At 44.3% G+C, this 19775-nt stretch overlaps 1 protein-coding gene across 4 annotated transcripts in view, besides 10 other annotated features; it reads left to right on the top strand.

The window, feature by feature from the left end:
* Positions 1566-1705: an enhancer, noted in NCBI's record as "active region_5216". NCBI's record gives its function as "activates an Ori minimal core promoter by ATAC-STARR-seq in GM12878 lymphoblastoid cells {active_cell/tissue: GM12878}" and the evidence as "EXISTENCE:reporter gene assay evidence [ECO:0000049][PMID:35858748]".
* Positions 1786-1895: an enhancer, noted in NCBI's record as "active region_5215". NCBI's record gives its function as "activates an Ori minimal core promoter by ATAC-STARR-seq in GM12878 lymphoblastoid cells {active_cell/tissue: GM12878}" and the evidence as "EXISTENCE:reporter gene assay evidence [ECO:0000049][PMID:35858748]".
* Positions 2126-2505: a silencer, noted in NCBI's record as "silent region_3735". NCBI's record gives its function as "represses an Ori minimal core promoter by ATAC-STARR-seq in GM12878 lymphoblastoid cells {active_cell/tissue: GM12878}" and the evidence as "EXISTENCE:reporter gene assay evidence [ECO:0000049][PMID:35858748]".
* Positions 2666-3045: a silencer, noted in NCBI's record as "silent region_3734". NCBI's record gives its function as "represses an Ori minimal core promoter by ATAC-STARR-seq in GM12878 lymphoblastoid cells {active_cell/tissue: GM12878}" and the evidence as "EXISTENCE:reporter gene assay evidence [ECO:0000049][PMID:35858748]".
* FCHSD2 (FCH and double SH3 domains 2) overlaps positions 2714-19775 on the top strand; it is a 305574-nt gene continuing 288512 nt past the window's right edge. For 2 of the 4 annotated variants that reach the window (NM_014824.3, XM_047427950.1), the window contains exons 1-2: positions 2714-3175; positions 4904-5001. In NM_014824.3, the coding sequence (NP_055639.2) occupies positions 3155-3175; positions 4904-5001 (119 nt within the window). In that variant the 5' untranslated portion in view covers positions 2714-3154. Of the gene's footprint in view, positions 3176-3547; positions 3812-4903; positions 5002-19775 lie in introns of those variants that run through there. The other 2 variants (XM_011545409.2, XM_011545410.3) reach the window with 2 other exon arrangements.
* Positions 3446-3585: a silencer, noted in NCBI's record as "silent region_3733". NCBI's record gives its function as "represses an Ori minimal core promoter by ATAC-STARR-seq in GM12878 lymphoblastoid cells {active_cell/tissue: GM12878}" and the evidence as "EXISTENCE:reporter gene assay evidence [ECO:0000049][PMID:35858748]".
* Positions 3446-4116: a biological region, named in NCBI's record as "H3K4me1 hESC enhancer GRCh37_chr11:72851961-72852582".
* Positions 3495-4116: an enhancer, noted in NCBI's record as "H3K4me1 hESC enhancer chr11:72851961-72852582 (GRCh37/hg19 assembly coordinates)". NCBI's record gives its function as "activates a minimal SCP1, AML or CMV promoter by ChIP-STARR-seq in naive H9 embryonic stem cells {active_cell/tissue: H9 hESC(naive)}" and the evidence as "EXISTENCE:reporter gene assay evidence [ECO:0000049][PMID:30033119]".
* Positions 3766-3995: an enhancer, noted in NCBI's record as "active region_5214". NCBI's record gives its function as "activates an Ori minimal core promoter by ATAC-STARR-seq in GM12878 lymphoblastoid cells {active_cell/tissue: GM12878}" and the evidence as "EXISTENCE:reporter gene assay evidence [ECO:0000049][PMID:35858748]".
* Positions 4117-4738: an enhancer, noted in NCBI's record as "H3K4me1 hESC enhancer chr11:72851339-72851960 (GRCh37/hg19 assembly coordinates)". NCBI's record gives its function as "activates a minimal SCP1, AML or CMV promoter by ChIP-STARR-seq in naive H9 embryonic stem cells {active_cell/tissue: H9 hESC(naive)}" and the evidence as "EXISTENCE:reporter gene assay evidence [ECO:0000049][PMID:30033119]".
* Positions 4216-4265: an enhancer, noted in NCBI's record as "active region_5213". NCBI's record gives its function as "activates an Ori minimal core promoter by ATAC-STARR-seq in GM12878 lymphoblastoid cells {active_cell/tissue: GM12878}" and the evidence as "EXISTENCE:reporter gene assay evidence [ECO:0000049][PMID:35858748]".

Raw genomic sequence — 19775 nt, 5'->3', positions numbered from 1 at the left:
TATATGCATAAACGAAATCCCCAGGGTCTGACTTCTTCTGTGAAGAGCCTCCTAAGTTCTAGGCTCACTCACTTATCTTATTCTGCAGGCCAGCACCAAGGCCCAGAGAAGACCCACTAGATCCATGGTAGAGGCTGGATCCCATGTCTCCCAACATCCAGCACCATTATACCCCAGTGCTCACTTCCTAAGAAGAGAGGTGAAGGGAGGATAATCTCTGGGCCAGACCAGTTGCACCCAAGACTAGGATTCAGCAAATCTTTGTTAAGCACTTGTTATGTGCATGACACTGCATCCGGGCCAAGTACTGTGTTACTCCTCTTCCACTAGCCCAGTGTCATTCAAGGAATGGTTGGTCTGGAACTCAGTCTTGGCGAAGGCTGATTCTATCTTGCTCATCTCTAGAACCCCAGTGCCTGGCACAGGCTTGGAACAAAGCAGGACTTTAGCAAGTATTTTTTGAATGAATGATGAATCAATAAGCACTTATTTTATTTTTTATTTTTTATTTTTTTTTGAGACGGAGTTTCGTTCTGTCCCCCAGGCTGGAGTGCAGTGGTGCCATCTCTGCTCACTGCAAGCTCCACCTCCCGGGTTCACGCTATTCTCCTGCCTCAGCCTCCTGAGTAGCTGGGACTACAGGCACCCGCCATCACGTCTGGCTAATTTTTTGTATTTTTAGTAGAGACGGGGTTTCACCGTGTTAGCCAGGATGGCCTCGATCTCTTGACCTTGTGATCTGGCCACCTCGGCCTCCCAAAGTGCTGGGATTACAGGCGTGAGCCACCGCGCCTGGCCTCAATAAGCACTTATTAAGCACTACATGCCAGGCCCTGTGGTAGGAGAAATTCTATTTAATACAGTAAGCCTATGAGGCTAGCATTATACCTCCATTTTACAAGTGAGGAAACAAGGCTGAAATAAGTGAATTGACTAGCTCAACGCTTCACAATAAATTGGTGGTGGAGCTGAGACTGGAGCCCAGCCTACGCTACCTATGGCCTGGGCTCTAGCTGCCACCCCGCAGCTGTCAGGGCCCTGGGCCTCCATCCACCTGTCCCCTTGCCCCAGGCCTTCCCTGATTTGATTAAGGATTCTGGTGAAGGGCTAACTTTTGAAGCCAGAAAAAGCAAGACTAGTCTCCTAGTTCATACACAGCTCTAGATTAATCTTATTCAAAACACAGCTCTGTCACTTTTCTGTACAAGAATCTAGTCTAACTCAATGTAAACAACCTGGGTTGAAGTTCCACCTTTTCAATTTCTGGTCATGTGGTCATCTGGGAAGTTACTCGTCTATCCAGGCCTCATTCACCTTCCTCTTAGGCCTGACTGCACTTCTGAGAACAGCTGTCTGGGATCTCAACTTCTGAAAAAACGGTGGAGTAATCCAGCTCAGCCTCCACACAGCCCCGTGACTCAAAAAAAAAAAAAAAACCTCCCTGGGCATGGGGAAGAGGTATTCCTCTTCTGAGGACCCCAAGGGAGGTCGATAAACTCCCCCGTAGATGGTCTGAACAGAGCAGGAAGGTTCATGTGTGGTGGTGGGGTGCACTGCTTAGATAAGCACCCTCACTGGCAGATAAGGAAGCCGAGCTCACCTAGCCTGTTAAGGAGCAGGCAAAGTGGACTGGCACCCAGAGATCCTGACTCCCAGACAAGGGCTTCCTCTATGGCCTCTCCTGCCTCTTCTACTTTTCCTCGTGCTTATTATCCTGCACCTGTTTCTTTTTTAAAATAACCCATAGAACACTTCCTGACGCAGATTCTAGTCCTGCTGTGTAACCTTTAGAAAGGCTTCCCTCTATGGGCACTTGCCTCCCCGTCTGTGAAACGGGGGCCTCGGCCTTAACGTTCTCTTGGCTCCCTCTCAGCGGAGTCAGTGATGTTTGACTTGAATGCCCTGCAGTAGAGTGCCGCCGTTTCCTTTGCAGAGCAACTGCCTTTCCGCCCTACAATCGCAATGGCCTGGCACCTGCGGCCAGCCGCAAAGCGACTTGTCCTTGCTCGCCTCTCTCGCGCACATCTAGCTGGTAGGGAGAGTAGGGTGTTGAGGGGCTGAGAGGAAGAAAACGCCGGAATTCTCGTATCCCACAGGCATGCTGCGCCCCCCTCCCCACTGCAAACGTTTCCCTGCGAGCGTCGTCCCCCGCGCCCCCCGACACACACACACACACACACACACACACACACACACACACACACACACACACACACACACGCAAAGGCAGGCAGGAGGCGGGGGCGGCCTGTGCGCGTGCGTCGGCGCGGAGCCCTCTCCCGCCCACGTGCGCGCCCCCGAGCGGAGACGCGCGCGCCGGGGCGAGCTGGCGGGAAAGCGCGCGGGAAGCCCCCGGCTGGCTCCCAGCGTGGGGGAGGGAGGGCAGGAGGCGTCTGGAACGTGCCACTCTCGGAGAGAAAGGGGGGATTTTCGCGTGGCGCTGGCGTTTCTACACCTCCCACCCACCGACCAATCCGTTAGCTTCCCCCTTCCCCTGCCGCGGTACGAAGCCCCGTGCCGTGGCCTAGCTCCCTCCTGGCAGCCCGGACCGGCCCCTCGAACCCCGCTCTGGACAGAGCGGTTCCCTCAGCATCCGGAGCGGGGCGCTGCGCCGCGCGGCGAGGCCGGAAATTCCCGCGGCCTGAGTGGTGGAGCCCTAGCGGGGAGAGCGGCGCCACCTTCCTCCTCCCGGGCGGGCGGGGGCGTTAGGCCCAGCGAGGGCCGGGCCGCCTGAGTGGGTGGGGTGGGGGCCGCTGCGTCCGCCGGGAGCGGCGGCGCAGGCGGCCGACCGGGAGCGCGGACAACGCGGCTGCGGCTAACCCGCCGCCCGGCCGGCTGAGACCCTCGCGCCCCTGCTCCTGGGGCCCCCGCCCCCTCGCCGTCTCCGCCTCCTTCCTCACACACCCCCGGGCCGCCCGGGCCGCCCGGGCCCCAAGCCTTCCCGGTGCTCCTCCCTCGTCTCCTCACACTCGCTCTCTGGCTGGGGTCCGCCTGCCGCCCGCTGGCCTGCTCCCTCCGGGGCAAGTCTTGCTTCTTAAGCGCTCCTTTCACACACGCGCGCGCTCGCTGGGCCGTCCCCTCCTCTCCGGCCCTCCTCCTCCTCCTGGTCCTTGCTAACGCTGCCGTCGGGGAGGATTGATGTCCCTTCAGCATCATGCAGCCGCCGCCGAGGAAGGTAAGGGCGCAGCTGGGGGGCTTTGGGGTTCGGAGAGATGCGTACGCGGAACGCGGCTGGGGCGACCGCTGCGCCCCTTCCCCCTCCCGCAAGGGGCCGTGACCGCCCTCGTCTTGGGCTTGTCACCGACTTGCCGCCGGCTCCAGGTGGGGGGCGCGCGTGTGAGTTGCCTTTCCGACAGAGGGGCCGCCGGGGCTCGTCCGTCCTCTAACGCAGGAGACCCCCAGACATTTCACAAGAGTTTCGGGTGTGCATTTGTGTGTGTGCGCGCGCATGGCAATGCTGCCCGCTGCAAAGTGCATTCTCGGGGCTGCACCGAGGGGGAGGCGGGGACGCCCCTGCAGCTTTGCAGAGCCTTGTGCGTGTGTGATTGTTTAGTCTGCACCAGCTTTGAGCCCTCCAGCCGCTTGTCGCCAGCCCCGCCCGTTTGCAAATTTGCGGGGGATTTGTTTCTAGCCTAGCCTTAGGGTTTGGCCTGCTTTTCCCACGGGGCGGCCGAAAAGAAGTTGGAATAGTCACCGCCTCCCCACCCCAAGGGAAAACAAATTAAGGATTGACGGGTCCTGCCTCGTCCCCGGCTGAGGGGCGAGGAGGCTGTCGTGCTGTCTTCAGAAAAGCGAGGACCGGGCCCGGGAGGTGCGTGGGGTGTGCACTGCGATCCGGGGTTGGATGACCAGGGTGGGAGTGACGGATGCACCCGGCTTGTCATCAGTCTCCCCGCTGCGCCCTTCCCCAGCTTTCCCAGGGGCCGAGGCTGTGTCCTTGTCTTTTTAATCCTACAGATGGATACTGAATGTCTACTCTGGGCACTGGGTGGATGAGGCCGTTCTGTCCTCCCCTCGTGGGCAAACATTTGCCTAACGCCTAACTCACCCGTGTCTGCTGCCGCTGCTTTCTCTCTTTCCTAATCCGGGTTTCTCCATTTAAGTGAGTCCTTTTCTTTCGAACATGTACCCCCACCCCTCCGGGTGGTCCCACTGCTGAGGCCGAGATTCCAGACTGACCGTTAACTTCGAACCCTGGGGCCCCGGCCTGGCGGGCGAGGCTCTCTGGCCAGCAGGCATTTGCTGTTCTCCGCTGTTTGAAGTGGAGCCTCCACGGGGATCGGCTTCCCGGGGTAGTTTAAAAGCACTGCATATGCTGGAAGGTCACTTTTGCTTTCTCCTTTGTGAGAAAGAGATTGTGATTTGATGCGCTGTCAGCAAGTCGAGGGCATCATTCTGAGACAGTGTGCTTTTTCGCAGCCATTATGGAGTAATTTATGTAGTCGATTCAGGCATATTATCATGATTGTGTAAATATTGGTCATTGGGTATCAGGCACTCTTAGGCTCCCAGCCCCCATCCACACTCTGCTCACCTCTCCTGGTGGTTAATGTCTTTGAATCTTTTTTAGAAATAGAAGACAGGCTCTTTTAAAACTGTAGGAAGACCTAGACGTGGATTGAGCTTGTGCATGAAATGGAATGACTGGCAGTTTATTTTGCACGTCTTTAGTTTGTAATATTTATAGTCGTGTATTTTCATTTAACCTCTGTTCAGGCTATTTGGCTTTAATTTTTCATTAAATAAGTATCTTCAATAAATAAAACTAGATGGCGAATATTGGATTTATGGCCTTCAGGGGAGAGGCGAGCAAGAGACATATTCTGACAGATGTATTTTCCTGAAGCAATTTTTTTGGGTTAAATTTGTAAAAAGACCTTCATAAATATATGGTATATTTTAGGTGAAAGTTACACAAGAACTGAAAAACATTCAAGTTGAGCAGATGACAAAACTTCAAGCCAAACATCAAGCAGAATGTGATTTGCTTGAAGATATGAGGTAAGGCTATAGTAAATAGTTCAAGGACTTCTGTTTGTCTGTTTCAAAGAACCTTTGAGTTACCAAGCCCCAGGAACTGATGATGGAATTTCCTTTTGGATTTCCTGCTTTAAGGCTGTTAGAACTTTGACTCAGCTGGAAATTAGAACTGGAACTAACACAATACAAACTTTTTCCTTCAGTGGGGGACCTATAATGCACACATAGTATTCAGAAAAAACAAGGACCTTAAAAGTCTTACTAGTCAAATTATAATAATTAAAGATTCTTGTTTAAATAATCTTTCCACGGAATTGTAACAATCATTTTATTGACCTTAACGGTTTTACACAGTTAGATTTTTAAACCAACACTTGTGGTTAATGGTTAATATCTGGGGGTGAGCCAGTCAACCCCAGATGGTTATATGCTCTCACTGGGTTAGAACATGACAAATACAACTTTGTTTTTGAGTGCCAAATTTAGTGAGAAGTGTGTTTATCATATTTTATTTTATTATTGAGGTTACTCATATTCATAATCAAGTTAACTTTGAATAGCTAAGACATCTTGCTAATATTGTGAAAATCAGTATCTTTCTTACTAGAGGGATGGATGACTTATTTTAATGAAAGAAATACCACTTATTTAACAATCTTGTAATACAGACTGACAGTTCAACAAAGATTTTCGTCAAGAATGGAAGATGATTTGCATGGTGAAGCAAGAGTGGCTGCAATTCTTATTTCCCTTGTATAATACATTTATCAAATTGGAATTGGGTCTGTAAGCCTCATCAGTTACCTAGTTTTCTGGTGGTACACTAACTTCGTGTTGGTTTCATGAAAAATATTAACTCTGGTGTTAATGATAAAATTATGTGTTTGGATTGCTGTTTATAGCCCAAAGATTTTAGTTTCAAGAATTTCCTTTTTTCCTCTCCTATATTTAGGCACTATAAGCATTTCTGCTGTATACCTGTCTTCAGGGTTTATGACTAAGGCATATAAATCTATTCTCATCCAACCTGGATATATCAAGATTGTTGTTTTCTGACTGAAAATTACAATTTTAATTCTGTATTTGTCTTCCTTCCCTTATCATAGCCATAAGAAAATATTTAGACTTAAAAATTCCTATGCGAGGCCGTGCGCAGTCACTGACACCTGTAATCCCAGCACTTTGGCAGGCTGAGGCAGGCAGATCACCTGAGGTCAGGAGTTCGAGACCAGCCTGGCCAACATGATAAAACCCTGTCTCTACTAAAAATACAAAAATTAACCAGGCATGGTGGCGTGCGCCTGTAGTCCTAGCTACTCAGGAGGCTGAGGCAGAGAATTGCTTGAACCTAGTAGGCGGAGGTTGCAGTGAGCCGAGATGGCACCACTGCTCTCCAGCCTGGGCAACAGAGTGAGACCCTGTCTCAAAAAAAAAAAAAAAAAAAAAATTCCTGTGCAAGATATCTGAAACTCTTGACATGGTTAAAAATGTAAGGTTTTTTTAACTTATTAAGCAAACTAAGAAATATCTAGATGAAGAAAGTAATACATTTTCAGAAGCAGTTCAGGAAGGCAGAATTAGTGTGTAAGTGAAGATCCCGTGTGGGGTATGGGTGGTCAGTAGTTGTAATAATTTCTGTTGGTTGTGTCTTCTAAAGACTTCTTGATTGCGTTTTGTCTCCATTTTTCCCCTGTTGTCTGTAGCTTGGTGCAGGAGCTTATGGTCAAGAATATGGACACTGCAGTCAGACAGTCCTGAGTTTGTGTCCTGATATCTGTGCTGACTTGTAGAAAATGAATTAATCTTTATAAACTTAATTTTTCTTATTTGTAAAATGGGGCAATAATGGCCTCTGTTGCCCAAGGTTGTATTGATCAAATGACAATACATATGAGATGTGGCACACATCTAAGCTAAGTTGATATAGTCTGTTGCTCCTGTTGCTGTTGCTTAGTTTGTATTATTGCTGATCCATCACATTTTGCTTGCAATATACTAGTATCCTAATTATTGCAGTAGTGTCCTTATATCTTCCATCTCCCATCTCTTCTTTTAAATATGTCTTCCACATTACCACCAGTTAGCTTTCTAAAAACATTATTATAGATCACTCCTCTGTGGCCTTCTGGATAAAGGTCAAACACTTTGTCATAGTATATATGGTTCTCTGCAACCCAGCTGCAAGCTTCCTTTCCTGGCTTAGTTACTACCGTTTCATGCCCATGCATCCTTCCTCTTTCTTCCCCCTGCTCTGGTCACTCGGGACGTCAGGTTGTCTAACTGTGCACTCTACATTCATGCCCCTGTGTATGCTGTTGTCTTTGCCTGTTGGTACCCTTCCTCCCACTTTTTCACCTGACAAATTCTTGATTACCAATAACTGCAAGTTCTTTGTTCTCTGTGATCTCAAAGGATTTTGATTTTGCACATGGTTCTGGCATCCTCCCTCAGATGAAGTCTTTGAAGTTATGGGCTATTATTCATTTTTGTATCTTTATACCCTTGTTGTCGAATGTAACTGGCTATATTTAAATGTATCTTATTTTTTCTTGGGTGAGATACTGTATACACTCTGTAGGGGAGCTATAGGGGCCTCTGTTGAGCTTGTGTTATATACTTTGGTTCACGTGATCACTTTAATTACACTATCTTGTTTGTTGTAGAGTATATAATATGTAAAGACAGAGATTGTTGGTGCTCCAAGGATTAACAGGTTTTTTTTAAAGGAGTTAGTGTGTTCTTCTATCTATATTAACTTAATGGAATGAATCCTTTCATTCCCATAGAGTTGTAAATAGGATACCGTATTACCTACTAAAACAAGAGTTTAGGTTTCTGATTTGCTTTTTTTTTTCAAAGACAATATTGAAAAAGTTGAAACTTGCCTCCTCTTGGTATTCATGATAACTTCAGTTGCCTGAGGAAGGAGGTGATCTGGCTTCTCTTGTCTGCCCTAGTAAGTGGAATGATTTTTTAAAAATTCACTGGAAATCTCTGAACTTGGATGTTTTTTTGTTTGTTTTTGAGACAAAGTCTCGCTCTGTTGGCTAGGCTGGAGTGCAGTGGTGCAATCTCAGCTTACTGCAACCTCCGCCTCCTGGGTACAAGCAGTTCACCTGCCTCAGCCTCCCTAGTAGCTGCCACCACACCTGCCACCACGCCCGGCTAATTTTTTTGTATTGTTAGTAGAGACTGGGTTTCACCATGTTGGCCAGGCTGCTTTTGAACTCCTGACCTCAAGTGATCCACCCGCCTCGGCCTCCCAAAGTGCTAGGATTACAGGCATGAGCCACTGCGCCTGGCCCGAACTTGGGTTTTTATATGAATTAAGTTGTAAAGGATCTTACTTGCTTTTCCTCTTTTGAGACTAGTGCTCCTTCTCACCAGTGCCCCCTGCCAACTTTATGCTCAATTTAAGTTAGTATGAATTCACTTAGAAAAGTACAAATAGCTTTGTGTTCTTAAAGAAATTAGTAGTAGATAATTTTTTTTATTATTATTAAATTTGAGGCAGTCTCACTCTGTTGCCCAGGCTGGAATGCAGTGGTGTGATCTCTGCTTACTGCAACCTCTCCTCTCGGGCTCAAGCGATCCTCCCATCTCATCCTCCATGGTAGCTGAGACTCCAGGTGCGCGGCTAATTTTTGTGTTTTTTGTAGACATGGGGTCTTACCATGTTACTCAGGCTGGTCTTGAACTTTGGGTTCAAGCAGTCCTACCGTCAGGCCACTGTGCCCAGCTTGAGAAAATGTCAAAAGTTTTTATATCATTGAAAAAAGTTAAAAAAAAATCTACAGCACATTAGACTGTAAATAGAATTTTATGCTAAATTTTGTCTAGTTCTTCCCCATTACGTCCCTTCTTTTTTCTTTCTTTTTTTTTTTTTCTTAAGAGACAAGAGTCTTGCTCTGTTGCCCAGGCTGGAATGCAGTGGTGTGATCTTAGCTCACTGTGTCCTTGTCCTCCTGGGTTCAGGTGATCCTTCTGCCTCAGCCTCCCAAGTACCTAGGACTATAGGCACGTGCCACCATGCCTGGCTTATTTTAAAGATTTTGTAGAGACAGGGTTTGTTTGTTGCCCAGGCTCGTCTTGAACTCCTGGGCTCAAGTGATTCTCCCACTCAGCCTCCCAAAGTGCTGGGATTACAGAAATGAGCCACTACTGCTGCAACGCACCCCTTAATCCCCAGTTCTTATCTTTTGGAATTTCGAGGGGAGGAGACCAATTATGATACAGTTTTTCTCCTTTGTTCTCCTCCCCTTTTTCAGTTCATTTGTTCTGCGAATGGCATTTGGAAGCTAGTATTTGGGAGTGAAGTTTGAGATGAAAAGACAACTAATTTGTTGTTAATCAGGGACATTCCATGCTTTGTGGAGGTTTTATACTGATGTGTTTCCTGTTGACTTTTGCTATCAGCAGTAGACAAGTAGAGTCTACTTTCTTTTTAGTTTATTATTATATTTTTTTCTCTTTGCTTTTTAAGACCACTTACAATAAGTTTCTACATACTAGAGTCTGTGTACTTTTCTTCTTAGGATTGTTTATCCTGTGCTATGTTGAGTAGAGTTAGTTAAGAAAAATTTTTTGCAGTGACCCAGAATTTAAAGAACTACCTTCTTAGAGGACAGTTTAAGGAGGTCTATAATATGGAAAAATTATTGAATTTTAGTCAGGTGGATATTATCATGTTTGTTCATTTTATAGATGAAAGTGGGAACTGAGGCACAGTGAAATGAAGTGAATTATATTGTTGAAGACTCTAAGCTATTTGTCCTGATTTCCATACTACTGTACTCTCCCCTGTATCTGTGTTTCCCAAGCTTTTAACCAAGGAACTCATCATGAGTCCAGTTGTAAAAAATATTTTGCCTATCAAAAAGTATAATATATTATCAGGAGGCTGGGTGCGGTGGCTTATGCCTGTGATCCCAGCACTTTGGGAGGCCAAGGCGGGTGGATCACTTGAGGTCAGGAGTTCGAGACCAGCCTGGCCAACATGGTGAAACCCTGTCTCTACTAAAAATACAAAAATTAGGTGTGCATGGTGGCGCACACCTATAATCCTAGCTACTCTAGCTACTTGGGAGGCTGAGGCAGGAGAATCACTTGAACCTGGGAGGTGGAGGTTGCAGTGAGCTGAGATAGTGCCACAGCACTCCAGCCTGAGTGACAGAGCTAGACTCTGTCTCAAAAAAAACCAAAAACCAAAAAACAAACTCCCCCCCAGAAAACAGTATATTATCAGGGAATAATTTGTTTTCTTATTTTTTGATACATTGAGCTGTCGATCAGCTCCAAATCACTATTTTCAAACCGTTAACGTGAGTTTCACCAAAGTCAAAGACACTTAAAAAACTTTATCCCAGAGAAGGCTGAATATGTGATTTCTTATAGATGTTCTGAAGAATTGAAACTGGCTCAAGAAGCACCTGTCCTGCCTTTGCAGACACCTGGTGGTCTAGAGACCTCAAGTGAGGAATTACTGTACTGTATGTTACTTTCTCTGAACTGTAGATTCCCAGGAGTCATGGGAGATTGGATTCCAAGGTCTGTTTATGGATGTTCTGAGACTTTTTTTTTTTGAGACAGGGTCTCGCCCTGTCACCCAAGCTGGAGCACAGTGGTGTGATCATGGCTCACTGCAGCCTCAACCTCTCAGACTTAAGTGATCCTTCTACCTCAGCCTCCTGAGTAGCTGGGACCACAGGCATGCACCACCATGCCTGGCTAATTTTGTATTTTTTGTAGAGAGAGGGTTTCACTATGTTGCCCCAGCTGGTCTCGAACTCCTGGGCTCAAGTGATCCTCCCACCTTGACCTCCCAAAGTGTTGGGGTTACAGGCATGAGCCACTGTGCATGGTGCTGAGACTTTTTTTCAGTGTCTCAGAGACTGTTGTATCTAGAAAGAGATCTTAGAGGTAATCTAATCTGGTCTAGAGTTTTTTTTTTTAAGGCTTTATTTATATACAATGTACATATCATGTAAGTTACATGATGTGACTGTATATCATATATGATTACGTATCCCATTTAAAGTGTACCATTCAACTTTTTTTTTATAGGATTGTACAATCGTCACGCCAATTTAAAATGTTTTAGTTACCCCTAAAAGAAACTTGGTACCCATTAGCAGTCGCTCCCCATAACCCTCTCCAGCCTTAAGCAACCACTTATCTACTTTCTGTCTCTATAGAAGTGGAATCTTGCGACTGGTTTCTTTTGGCATAATGGTTACTTTTTTTTTTTTTTTTTTTTTTTGAGACGGAGTTTCTCTGTGTCACCCATACTGGAGTGCAGTGGCGCGATGCCGGCTCGTTGTAACCTCCGCCTCCTGGGTTCATGCAATTCTGCCTCAGCCTCCTGAGTAGCTGGGATTATAGGTGCCCGCCACCGTACCCAGCTAATTTTTCAATTTTTAGTAGAGATGGGGTTTTGCCATCTCAAAGCCTCAGTGATGTTTAGTAGAGATGGGGTTTGGCCATCTCCTGACCTCAAGTGATCCACCTGCCTTGGCCTGCCAAAGTGCTGGGATTACAGGCATGAGCCACTGCGCCCAGCCTGGTGTAATGTTTTCAAGATTCATCAGGTTGTAGTATCATTACTTCATTCCTTTTTATTGCCAAATAATACCCCATTGTATGGATATGCCACATTTTATTAATCCCTTCATCAGTTGACAGAGATATGGGTTGTTTCTACTTTTTACTATTATTAATAATGCTGCTATGAACATTTCATGTATAAGTTTTTGTATGGATATATGTTTTTCTTTTGGATATATACCTAAAAATGGAATGTCTGGGTCATATGGTAACTCTATGTTTAACTTTTTGAGGAACTTTCAAACTGTTTTCCAAAATAGCTGCTCCATTTTATATTCCCACCAGCAATAATACATGATGGGTCCTATTTCTCCACGTCATGGCCAGTGCATGTTATTGTCTGTCTTTTTGATTATAGGCATTCTAGTGGATGTGAAGTGATATTGTAAGTGGCTTTGACGTGCATTTTTCTAACAACTTATGATGGTGAGCATTTTTTCATGTGCTTATTGGCCATTTGTATATCTTCTTTGAAGAAATGTCTATTCAAGTACTTTGCCCATTTAAAAAATCATTTTTATTGAATTTTAAGAGTTCTTTATAACATATATGATTTGCAAATATATGCAGTATTTTTTTCCCATTCTATGGAAGAATCACCTGAGGTTTTTTTTTTTTTTTTTTCTGTTACCGTTTCATTCTGTCACCCAGACTGGAGTGCAGGGGGCATGGTCATGGCTCACTGCAATCTCCACCTTCTGGGATCAAGCAATCCTCTCACCCCAGCCTCCGGAGTAGCTAGGACTACAGTTGCACACCACCATGCCCAGCTAATTTTTGTATTTTTTTGTAGAGATGGGGTTTTGCCATGTTGTCCAGGCTGGTCTCAAACTCCTGGGCTCAAGCAATCCACCTGACTCAGCCTGCCAAAGTGCTGGGATTACAGGCATGAGTCACAGTGCCTGTCTTCACCTGAGTTTTTTATGTGCACTTAATTTTGAGAACCACTGGTAATGGAAACAAGAGCTTTGAAGGTAGGCCGTAGATTGAAACCCAGCTCTGCTGCTTATTAGCTGGGTAATCTTGGACAAGTGGCTTAGCTTTTCTGAGCTTCAGTATTTTGTATGTGTGAAACAAGATTAATATTGACCTTTTTGCTTTTCTGTGAAAGTAAAATGAGACAGGTGAAATGCCAAGAATGGTAGGTATTTAGCATTGGTAGCTACTGTTATTAGTGGAAAATTGAAGTCCAGGAAGAATGTTGTCTTATTCAAGGTACAAAAGGAAGTTATCGTGTTTCATGAATTATAAGAAGCACATTGTTTTACATTCTTACATTTCTGAAATCAAGATGCATCTTATGGCTCTTTTAGGCTGTGATGCAGTTGTCATTGCCTCTTCATGCATAGAACTTGCGGGATGGGTATCAGCAATCTTGTAAGAAAATCCCAGAGACAATGGTTGGAATACAAATGTTGGATCACCTGGGCTTTTGATAGCATGGAGGATGGTAATTTGTGGAAATATATGGATGTCAGTGACTGATTCAAAAAAATGAGAAGAGTTCGACTCTGAATGTGACCCATTTATGCACCAGTTTATTTCATTTATCTTTTTTTATTATGCATATGCTAAACTCTGACTAAATAAGTTTAAAAGAACTCTTTTAATAAGTATAAATGAAAATTCTAAGTAACGGTATTGTGTTAATTGGCAGCATTTTTTTCTTAGCAGAATATAAAATAATGTGTCTTGCAGTTAATGGTGTTCTTATTTTTTAAATTTTTTAATTTTTTTTTTTTTTTGAGACATAGTCTTGGTTTGTTGCCTAGACCGGAGTGCAGTGGTGCGATCTTGGCTTACTGCAACCTCTGCCTTCCAGACTCAAGCGATCCTTGTGCCTCAGCCTCCCGAGTAGCTGGGATTACAGCTGTATGCCACCATGCCCAGATAATTTTTGTAGTAATTTTTATTTTTTTTGAGACGAAGTCTCACTCTGTCACCCAGGCTGGAGTGCAGTGGCGCTATCTTGGCTCACTGCAAGGTCCGCCTTCTGGTTTCACGCCATTCTCCTGCCTCAGCCTCCTGAGTAGGTGGGACTACAGGTGCCCGCCACCATGCCTGGCTAATTTTTTTTTTTTTTTTTTGTACTTTTAGTAGAGAGGGGGTTTCACCGTGTTAGCCAGGATGGTCTCGATCTCCTGACCTTGTGATCCACCTGCCTCGGCCTCCCACAGTGCTGGGATTACAGGCGTGAACCACTGCGCCCGGCCTAATTTTTGTAGTTTTTATAGAGATGGGATTTCGTTATTTGGTTAGGGCTGGTCTCCAACTCCTGGTCTCAAGTGATCTGCCTGCCTCAAGCTCCCAAAGTGCTGGGATTACAGGCGTGAACCACCATGCCCAGCCCTCAGTGATGTTTTAGATGTGATGAAAACTGGAAGTAGCAGATCAGGTACTGGACTCAGGTATTTAAAAATTCATTCAACAATCATAGTTGCTTCTCAATTAGTATTCTTTCAAATTAGAACTTAAAATGTTGTAAATCTTGAGAGGGAGAATTTTTGAAAAACTGAGAGCTGCAAGAAAAAAAGATCAAGTAGGGCTACACTTAAATAACATTTCTTTAAGAGAGGGAAAAAAAGATTACCTGATTTTATAATTAATAAAAGGTAACATGCAACTTCGAATGACTAAATAAAATTTAAATGTAAATATATACTTCCATATTATGGTCAGTTATGTTGGGGAGAAAAAGGAGATGCTAACTAGGCAGAGAAGGAAATATAGTTTGAGAGGGTCTGTTTAATTAAACTTTTTTTGTCACAGACCACTGTGTACTTGAAATTGAAAGAATTAGGGTTTTGGTAATACCTCTTCCTATTGGTGACTCTTGGTTTATTAGCTCCTAAGCCATTATTCAGAAATCTTTACCTGCTCCTAAAATTTAAAGATTCTTTTCTGAATGGGACAGCCATTGCAGCCCAAGGCAGGTGAAGATAGTTTATGATTCATAGACATGAATAGAGGATACTCTCCTGAACTTGATGGTATTAAACTAAGGACTAATAATGAAAGTTACTTATCTCTAGGGTTAAGAATAGAAGTGTTAGTCTGGCACCATAGCACGTGCCTGTAGTCCTTGCTAAGGCAAGAGGATCTGCTTGAGCCCACAGTGAGCTATGATAGTACTTGTGAGTAGCCACTACACTCCAGCCTGGGCAACTTAGCAAGACCCTATCTCTAAGAAAAAAGTATTGAATAATTTTTATGTATACTTTACCTTCCCCTGGTCTTTTTAGCCACACCCAGGTATATAAATATAAGAGATTATGGGCCAGGCGCGGTGGCTCACACCTGTAATCCCAGCACTTTGGGAGGCCAAGGCGGGCGGATCACGAGATCAGGAGATTGAGACCATCCTGGCTAACATGGTGAAACCCCGTCTCTACTAAAAAAAATTAGCTGGGCGTGGTGGCGGGTGCCTGGAGTCCCAGCTACTCGGTGGGGGCTAAGGCAGGAGAATGACGTGAACCCGGGAGGCAGAGCTTGCAGTGAGTGAGCTGAGATCACACCACTGCACTCCAGCCTGGGCGACAGAGCGAGACTCTGTCTCAAAAAAAAAAAAAAAAAAAAGATTATGAAGGTAATCTGTGTGGTAGCATAGGTGTGATATATCGGAACAAGTGCTAGTTTACAGCAGTGGTCCCCAACCCTTTTTGGCACCAGGGACCAGTTTCCTGGAAGACAGTTTTCCCATGGACTGCGGGTGGGGTCAGGGGGATGGTTTTGGGATGATTCAAGTGCATTACATTTATTGTGCACTTTATTCCTATTATTGTTACATTGTAATATATAATGAAAACAATTATGCAACCCAGTATACTGTAGAATCAGTGGGAGGCTGAGCTTGTTTTTCTGCAACTGGACGGTCCCATCTGGGGTTGGTGGGAGACAGTGACAGATCATCAGGCATTAGATTCTCATGAGGAGCATGCAACCTAGATCCCTTGCATGTGCAGTTCACAATAGGGTTCGTGCCATGAGAATCTAATGCTGCTGCTGATCTGACAGGAGGCGGAGCTCAGGTGGCAATGTGAGCAATGCGGGGGCGGCTGTAAGTATGGACGAAGCTTGGCCTGCTTGCCCGCCACTCACCTCCTGTTGTGTGTCCCAGTTCCTAACAGGCCACAGACCGTTAGTGGTCCGTGGCCTGGGGGTTGGGGACCCCTGGTTTAGAGACATGCAACCTGGGTATCAATTCTAGTTCACAAATTATGGCGCCCAGCTGTAATTTGTTTTGTAATTGAGAACATCAATTTAGAAATTAGAGTCTCTGGCCAGGCGCGGTGGCTCATGCCTGTAATCCCAGCACTTTGGGAGGCCGAGGTGGGCAGATCAAGAAGTCAGGAGATCGAGACCATCCTGGCTAACATGGTGAAATCTCGTCTCTACTAAAAATACAAAAAATTAGCCAGGCACGGTGGCACATGCCTGTAGTCCCAGCTACTGGGGAGGCTAAGGCAGGAGAATCGCTTGAACCCGGGAGATGGAGGTTGCAGTGAGCTGAGATCACACCACTACACTCCAGCCTGGGCAACAGAGCGAGACTCTGTCTCAAAAAGAAAATAAAAATAAAAAGAAATTATAGCCTGACTTATTCTTTAAAGAGTAACCTGTGGGTTGAAACGTGAAATTAATCTCAAAGATAAACTGCTCCAGTGATGCTACAGAATCTTTCACCACGGTTAGTAGTCCTAGGTACCTTCCATCTTTCTGTATGTTGGTAATGATTCTCCTCGTGATTGCTGGATAGTTTCTGCAACTCCAAGTACTATATTTTCATATAACAACTTCAGGTGGAAGAAGAGGAGAGCAGGACAATTTCTCCTTATGCAAATTTTTCCTACCTTTCTCCCTCCTTCCCCCATCTCTGTTTCCTTCCTTTTTTCTTTTGTTCCACCAGGGAAGAAATTTTTTACCAGAAATTAACTCAACAGACTTTCCCTTATATTTCATTATCTGTGTTTGCGTCATATGCTTGAACATGCCTAGCTGCAGAGGAGGCTGGAAATGTGATCTTCTTGGAGGTAGGTCCTTGCCAACAAACAAAAAAGGTAGTGGTGGCAGTAATGTAGCTTTTGCCACATTATTGTTTTGCCTGATTTGCTGCAGGGACCCATTTCCAGTTTACTCCTAGAGGTTCCCATAAAAGTATTAAAAAATGCATTGGAGTTAGATTATGAGGGCTATCACTGGAACTCCAGTTGTCCCAAGCTGACTGGTAATTAGAGACTCCATAGAAATTATTTGTATTCCCTCTTCCCAATTCCTTTTGAATTAAGTATGTCAGGTTAGGAGTAGGTTTTTGTATTTTGGCCTCTTAGGATTCTCCTCCCAATCTTACCACTTCAGTCTTCTGATAATTTGGAGAAATGGTGGTCAAAGGGCCCGCAGGCAATTGTGTTCTCAGTGAACCTTTTTTTTTTTTTTTTTTGAGATGGTCTTATTCTGTTGCCCAGGCTGGAGTACAGTGGTGTGATCTCACAACGCCTGGCTAATTTTTTGTATTTTTAGTAGAGACGGTGCTTCACTATGTTGGCCAGGCTGGTCTCAAACTCTTGACCTTGACCTCAGGTGATTCCCACCCCCGCCCCCCAACCCAAAGTGTTGGGATTACAGCTTGAGCCACTGCACCCAGCTGTGAACTTCTTTTTACTTCTCAGGTGAAGGCATTAGTGAAGTGCCTAAATTTAAAGGAGGGAAGGCCATATAAAGAGTTTTAATCACCCTTAGCTGAATAATTTGCCCCTTAATAATTGATGATTGGCAATTTACTCTTGAGAGTATCAAGTCTGAAGCTGTTTATCTGAGGAGGCCTGTAAGTTGATGGTTTTCTTTGTAAATTCTCCAGATGTTCATTTGAGCCCCACAGATGCCATTCTATGTTGTTGGTATCAGTCTTCAGGGGTGATCTGATGCATAAGCAGGGGTTAGTTTTGTAAGTCTGGCTCGTGTTCTTGGCTTTTCAGTAACTAATTAGGGATCTAGGCACAGAAACTTGTAACCCTGTCCTTTGTCCCACTGCTGCAGATGTTCTGTCAGTGTTGATCGGGAGTAATTTATGGAACCTTAGCTGGTATTTTTGTTAATTTCATTTTGTTAGGTCCTTTCAATATTCCTTGATCGTGCTTTGTTTTAACATTCCATTTGATCTTTTTGGCATTCATGTGGGAATCCTTTGTCATCCAGATGTTTTCTGTTTTGTGAGCTTGGAAATAATCCCAATTTAATAAGAAAATGTTATTTCTGGTGTTATGAAAAGTGTTACCATGTCTGTGGTTCCACAGAAACAAGTTGGAGTATATATTATATATGTCTCCTGATTGTATTTTAGTGATAATTGTTTTTCCTCTTACTGGTGATTGGAGGATGGGAGCAAGGGACAGAGACTCTTTTTGTTGTTTGCTTTTGAGACAGAGTCTTATTCCATCCCAGGCTGGAGCACAGTGGTGCAATCTCGGCTCACTGCAACCTCTGCCTCCCGTGTTCCAGCAATTCTTGTGCCTTGGCCTCCTGAGTAGCTAGGATTACAGGTGTGCAACACGATGCTCGGCAAATTTTTTTATTTTTCATAAAGATAGGGTTTTGCCATGTTGGTCAGGCTGGTCTTGGACTTCTGACCTCAAGTGATCCACCTGCCTTGGCCTCCCAAAGTGCTGGGATTACAGACGTGAGCCACTGCACCCAGTCTAAGCTTTTTATTGTATGTTCTTTTTTGTGTATTTTGAATTTTAAACTATGTGAATATTATGCTCAAAACTAAAATTTAATGATTCAGTAATATTGGTAAACATTTTATTGCATGTCTGTTAAGCATAACAGATATTTAACAGATATTATAAAAGTTCGTATTAGTTGATGCTAAAATGCCATTTTTGGCTTTTAATTAGTTTTTAGTGAAGCTATTTTCATTATTAATAGACTTTAAAATTTATTTCTAATATGTACAAGTATTAAGAATACTTGATTTACAAACTTTTCTTCATAAAGTGATTGGTTTCCAGTTGGTTGTAGCACAAAGTTGGGAAAACAAGCTTTATGTACTACTGTATTCCTTTCTTTCTGTATTGTGGAATTTTTTTTTTTTTTTTTTTTTTTTTTTTTTTAAGATGGAATCTTGCCCTGTTGCCCAGGCTGGAGTGCAGTGGCGTGATCTCAGCTCACTGCAACCTCTGCCTCCCAGGTTCAAGCGATTCTCCTGCCTCAGCCTCCCAAGTAGCTGGGATTACTGGTACCCATGACTATGCCTGGCTAATTTTTGTATTTTTAGTAGAGATGGGATTTCACCATGTTGGCCAGCCTGGTCTCGAACTTCTGACCTTGTGATCCGCCCACCTCGGCCTCCCAAAGTGCTGGGATTACAGGTGTGAGCCACCGCACCTGGCCGTGGAATTCTTTTGTCTTGAAACAAGCAAACATATTAGATAGAGTCTTGCCTAATGTCAAATTTCATTTTAGCTGCCTTTATCCAAAGGTTTTATATCATAGCCATCAATTAAAACATTGTTTCTGTTGTGAAATGTAGTTTTGCATTAGCCAGCTCTCTCCATGGAAGAATGGTTTGCTCTGTTTTACTAAAAGAAGTGTTTTATATAATAGTTTTTCTTAGTTACATTGAATCAATTGAAATTGTTAGTATTCCATTTTCTTTCTTTCTTTTTTCTTTTTCTTTTTGCATTTGTTAGCTATTCCTCTGTTTTTAAAGTGGTCATTCTAAGATATGACATTGTGTTTTTTTTTGTCTTGAGACAGGGTCTCTGTTGTCTGGGCTAGGTTATAGTGGTGCGGTCATGGCTCACTGCAGCCTTAACCCCTTGAGCTCAAACAGTCCTCTTGCCTCAGCCTCCTGAGTAGCTCAGACTACAGATGTGTGCCACTATGCCTGGCTAATTTTTTAAATTCTTAGTAGAGACAGGGTCTTACTATGTCTCCCAGGCATCATTGAACTGTGGAGCTCAAGCAGTCCCCCTTCTTTGGCCTCCCAAAGTGCTGGGATTATAGGCATGAGCCACCACACTCGATCTACACCATGCATTCTTAATTTATCACTGTCTACTTAGAGTTAATATTGTACCATTCCACATACGACCTTACAATGGTCTAATTACAGTTATTCCATCCCAGACTTTGTGCTGCTTATAAACCTCGTAATATAATGTTAGTTTTCTTTAAACAGGTATCTTTTAAAA

Source organism: Homo sapiens, chromosome 11, assembly GCF_000001405.40.
Source record: "Homo sapiens chromosome 11, GRCh38.p14 Primary Assembly".
Lineage (NCBI taxonomy): Eukaryota > Metazoa > Chordata > Mammalia > Primates > Hominidae > Homo > Homo sapiens.
The sequence above is the reverse complement of the archived record's forward strand: the minus strand, read 5'-3'. Positions and strand labels throughout refer to the sequence as shown.